Source organism: Homo sapiens, chromosome 5 (assembly GCF_000001405.40).
Source record: "Homo sapiens chromosome 5, GRCh38.p14 Primary Assembly".
Lineage (NCBI taxonomy): Eukaryota > Metazoa > Chordata > Mammalia > Primates > Hominidae > Homo > Homo sapiens.
The window spans coordinates 106,754,683-106,759,234 of record NC_000005.10 but is presented as its reverse complement, the minus strand read 5'-3'; the positions used below and the strand labels follow the sequence as shown (position 1 = coordinate 106,759,234).

The following is a 4,552-nucleotide window of genomic DNA, read 5'->3' as shown; positions in this document are numbered from 1 at the left end:
CTAGAGTAGCCTATGGTCTGGCATTTTGGGTATAGGTTCTGGAAGTGTTTTGGAGAGATTTTCACTAAAAAACAAAAAAGGATGAGATTATAAGGTGATGGTTTTTGGTATCTTAGGATACACAAATATTTTATATCTCCTATAAATTGGTCATAGAATCTATCAAAGTAAGTATATATTTGTGGTTTCATATTTATTGCCTCTCCTTCTTATGTGGTACCATGTCTCATGAAATGAAATCCTAGAAGCAGCAATGATTAATACTGCATTGAAGTACCTGCTGAAAAATTCTCTTAGGAAAAAATTCAAAGCTACACTCACAGCCACAGACTTTAGAATACATTTTGTTTTTCAATTGTTGATAGACCACACAAAAAGACATATGATGTAGAAGATTAGTTTAGTAAGCAGGTCTTTATTAATAAATAATCCATAAAAAGAATAATCTACAAGCCTATAGCAAAGACAAGAAATCATCTTAGAATATTAAAGGATATTTAGAAATATCAAAGCCACTCTGGACCATTAAGAACACCTCAAACAATTTCAGCTATAAGGACTTTTATAGAATGTTTCCTATCATCAGCTCACAGAAATGAGGGGTAAACCCCACAACCATCTGAAGCTCAAAAAACTTGCCTATGGATAAGGAAAATTATTAAAAAAGAATATTATAACTTATTTAGAATTTAATTTTACCTAATTGCTGTAACTTAAAATTTTATGAAATGTGACAAGACAATATTTGGATTAAAATAAATATATTTAATTTTATTTTATCATGTATATTATCATTATTTATGAAAATAAACTTAAAATAAGCATGAAAAAAGTTAGAAAAATAACTACAAATATGCCTAAGAAAATAGAAAAAATACTAAAAGTTTAAACATTATAAATGTTAAAAAAGGAGAAATAGAAGATAAGATGGGTATAACTGACAAACCTATTTTCTTTCAACATTCAAAAATTGAAAACCCATGATAAATCAATAAATTAAAAAAAACACATGGAAATACAGAAATGAGCATAATTTAAAACAAGATGCAAACTCTTAACATTGTGAGAATACACTAATCTCATATTTCTATGATAATTATCCTGATAAATATTTTATGTTAGTAGATGAGTATTATATAAAAATTATTTATGCTCATTTGATGAAATGGGCAAACTGTCAGGACTCTTAATTGCAAGTAACAAACAACTGTGCAAAATAGTTTAGTTTCAACAACGTGGAATATATTTTTTCACATAATTTATATGTTCAGGGACAGGACTAACTGAAGGCTCCCTTGCTGCAGGGTTTTTATTTCACCGGGTTCTCTCCCTGGAGGTCTTGGTTTCACTTCTTCTAGGCTAGCTGCTTTCATTGAAAGAGTTTTTCCTTGTAGCTTTGCTATAGCGGTATATATAGTTTCATATTCACTCATCTAGGTAATAGTTTCCCTATATTTCACATTTAACAATTATAATGTAGACATTTGACAATGTATATTTAATAATGGTTGTAAAATCAATAGAATTACTGGTAAACCAGAAAAAAATATTGTTTCTTTGCTATAAAATATACTGCAAATAATCAGTTAAAAAAGCTTAAATATATGAGATTTATCAGCTTGAAGTGTCTAGACCTCCTATGAATCATCATATATATGCACAATGAATTATACATGTGAAGGAATAATAACTTGACAGAACCTATGATTGTAATATGTTAAATTGTGCTTAACTTTCCTTTAAGTATGTTTTTAAGTTTTTCAGGTAAAATTTTCTATAGTTCCAATTTATGTGTTATAAAAGGTTATTATTTTCATGTATCTTTTATAAATTTATAATTATTAAGATATGAATTTGCTTAGCTTATTTTAAAGCAACTATTTATCTTTCATTTCTAGTATAGAAAAAGAGTTGGTGTGTTGTAAATGAAAAAAAATTGCAAAATACCAACTCTTTCTTCCCTAAGTTTTGCATGCCATTCCATTTAGTAATTTTTATGTTTTAGATTTCTCTTAGAAAATGATATCTGAAATAAACATAGTACTTAGGGGAAATGCAGAGAATATCTTTGCTGTAAGATTTTATGAAAGTGTAATAACATTTTTGCTTCAGAATGTGATTGTCTATATTATCACACATGTAATACTTTCAATTTAATAAATTACATTGAGACAAATTAAAATTCTTCATGCTGTGCTAAAGATGCCCAAACATCAGAGTTACCTAAATAGTAAGTTAATATATTCATTCGTGGACTTCATTTCTAGAAATTTAGATTACATAGGTCTGGGGTAAGGTTTGGGTTTTTTAAAAGTTACCAAAAAATCCTCCGAGGCTGCTCGAGGGCCAGTTTGGAGTTTGAGGGACAGATGCAGAGCAGACAACAGAAGGGCATTCTTTCATCTTTCCCCTCCTGCACTTGAAACAGAACATCCTTGCTTTCATATCATTTGTGTATTAGGAATACACATAAAGTTTCATCTGATGAAAGAGATGCGTGAGTAAAAAATGTTTGAATTTTACTACATTATTTCATCATAGAAAGAGAAAAATAAGATTATTTCTATAGAGAAGCCTGAAATATGATCATACTTGCTCAAAAATGAAGGCTGCAGCTAAATGATAGATAAGTGCATAGTTTATTATATGCATTTCTAGAACACCAGTAGTATTGTGAACAAAAATTTTGACCAAGACTTGAGGAAGCATAAAGTACTAAATAATAGGCAAATCGTTTTTGGTCTCCTTTCTTATTAGGAAAGCACCAAGAAAATTTAAATTGTTAATTTAAAAAATTTAGAATTCTTTTTCTGATTAGTATGTAGAAAGCAGCAAGAAAATGTCACTCACCTCCTAACAGCAAGAAAAGAAATATAGATAATTAGCAAAAATCATTATTTCTTCTGAAACCGTTAGAGAGCTACAGTTGTAAGGTAACTAAGCAAACTGAGTCAGAAAGAGGGACAGCACGTCTAAGGAACAATGAGACATAGCATTTGTTTTACTCTGGTCACTGGAGGAAGTGGTGGTCATCATATAATCGGGTAAGAAGAAATCAGCTAAAATGTTCATAAATTCTTAAAGCCCTGGTATAGGCTAACATGAAGCTGTTAAAATTGAGAACACAAGATGCAGGAGAGTCTGAGTTTCTTACAAACTCTAATTCCCAGCCCTTTACCAGGTACTAATAAAGATTTGTGGCAAGGCAGGAAGCTGCTGAGGGTCCCCCTAGGGAGCTGGTAGGCAGGGGTTGATCAGCTGGCACGAGAGTGGGTGCAGTAACTGATCACCACCTGTTTCTCTTTTTTTTTTTTTTTTTGAGACTGAGTCACTCTGTCACCCAGGCTGGAGTGCCATGGCGTGATTTCTGCTCACTGCAACCTCTGCCTCCCGGGTTCTCGTGCCTTAGTCTCCTAAGTAGCTGGAACTACAGGCACCTGCCACCATGCCCGGCTAAGTTTTGTATTTTTAGTAGACACGGGGTTGGCCAGGCTGGTCTTGAACTCCTGAGCTCAAGTGATCCTCTCCCCTCTGCCTCCCCAAGTGGTGGAATTACAAGCATGAGCCACCATGCCATGGTCACCATCTGTTTCTCTACCTGCTCTGATATGAAGCAAAAGTTTAAGGTAATTGGGGGAGGGGCGGCCAATACTCACCTCCAGGATTAAGGTTAAAATTCATTGCTTTTGGGGCAGGGGGAAAAGCAAAAACCCTCTACATCTGAAAAGTATCGATAAACCCTTCTTTTATGGATGAGAAGCAGAGGCCTGTTCCTTCTGGGAGAAGGTCAGGAAACTTCTACCCAAAACACCACAGACACAAGATAGAAATTGCTGGCCATTAGGAGAAGAGCAAGAGTGAGAAAGCACCACCCCTGAGGCTCAGATGAACAGGTCTTTTAAGAAGACTGAAGCTGTGCCAGGAGAACAAAAGCCCTACCGTTCCCTCTCCCCCACCCCCAACAAGAAAAGCAGTCTCCCATTGGGAGAGAGTTCCAACGGTGGGGAGAGAGCTGTGCAGAGACTGCTAAAAGCTGAAGGTGGAGCAGGAACACTGAGAAAATTCACTCAGAAGCCCAAGCAACCTTGTGAGCACAAGGTAACAGCAGGTCTCCCCTGAAGAAACTGAAGCTTTTAGTGCACTAATGGAAAGGGTAGCAATGACAAAATGGAAATCCAGCTCAACTTCTAACCACTATTTTAACTCTACCCACTGCAAGAATGGCCTGACAGGAGATGAAGCTGCTTAATTCCAGGGATAGATAATACTGACCTTGGTCTTCTCTGTTCTTCTGTATACAATGCCACTGTCCAATCAAAAATTATGAGACACACACACACACCAATATGAAGAAACAGAGCATTCAAAACAATCAGATTTAGAGAAACCCAAGACCCAAATATTAAAACCATCAGGTAGAGACTTTAACGAAGATAAATGTGTAAAAGGATTCAAGGAAAAGGTGGTCAATATGAAGGGACTGAGTCAAAAGCAAGCAAACAAACAAAAACTATGAATAAAAAATGAATACCTCAAGTGTTGATTTAAAAAG

At 34.6% G+C, this 4,552-nt stretch overlaps 1 annotated feature.

The window, feature by feature from the left end:
* Positions 3,663–4,205: an enhancer, noted in NCBI's record as "NANOG hESC enhancer chr5:106090731-106091273 (GRCh37/hg19 assembly coordinates)". NCBI's record gives its function as "activates a minimal SCP1, AML or CMV promoter by ChIP-STARR-seq in primed H9 embryonic stem cells {active_cell/tissue: H9 hESC(primed)}" and the evidence as "EXISTENCE:reporter gene assay evidence [ECO:0000049][PMID:30033119]".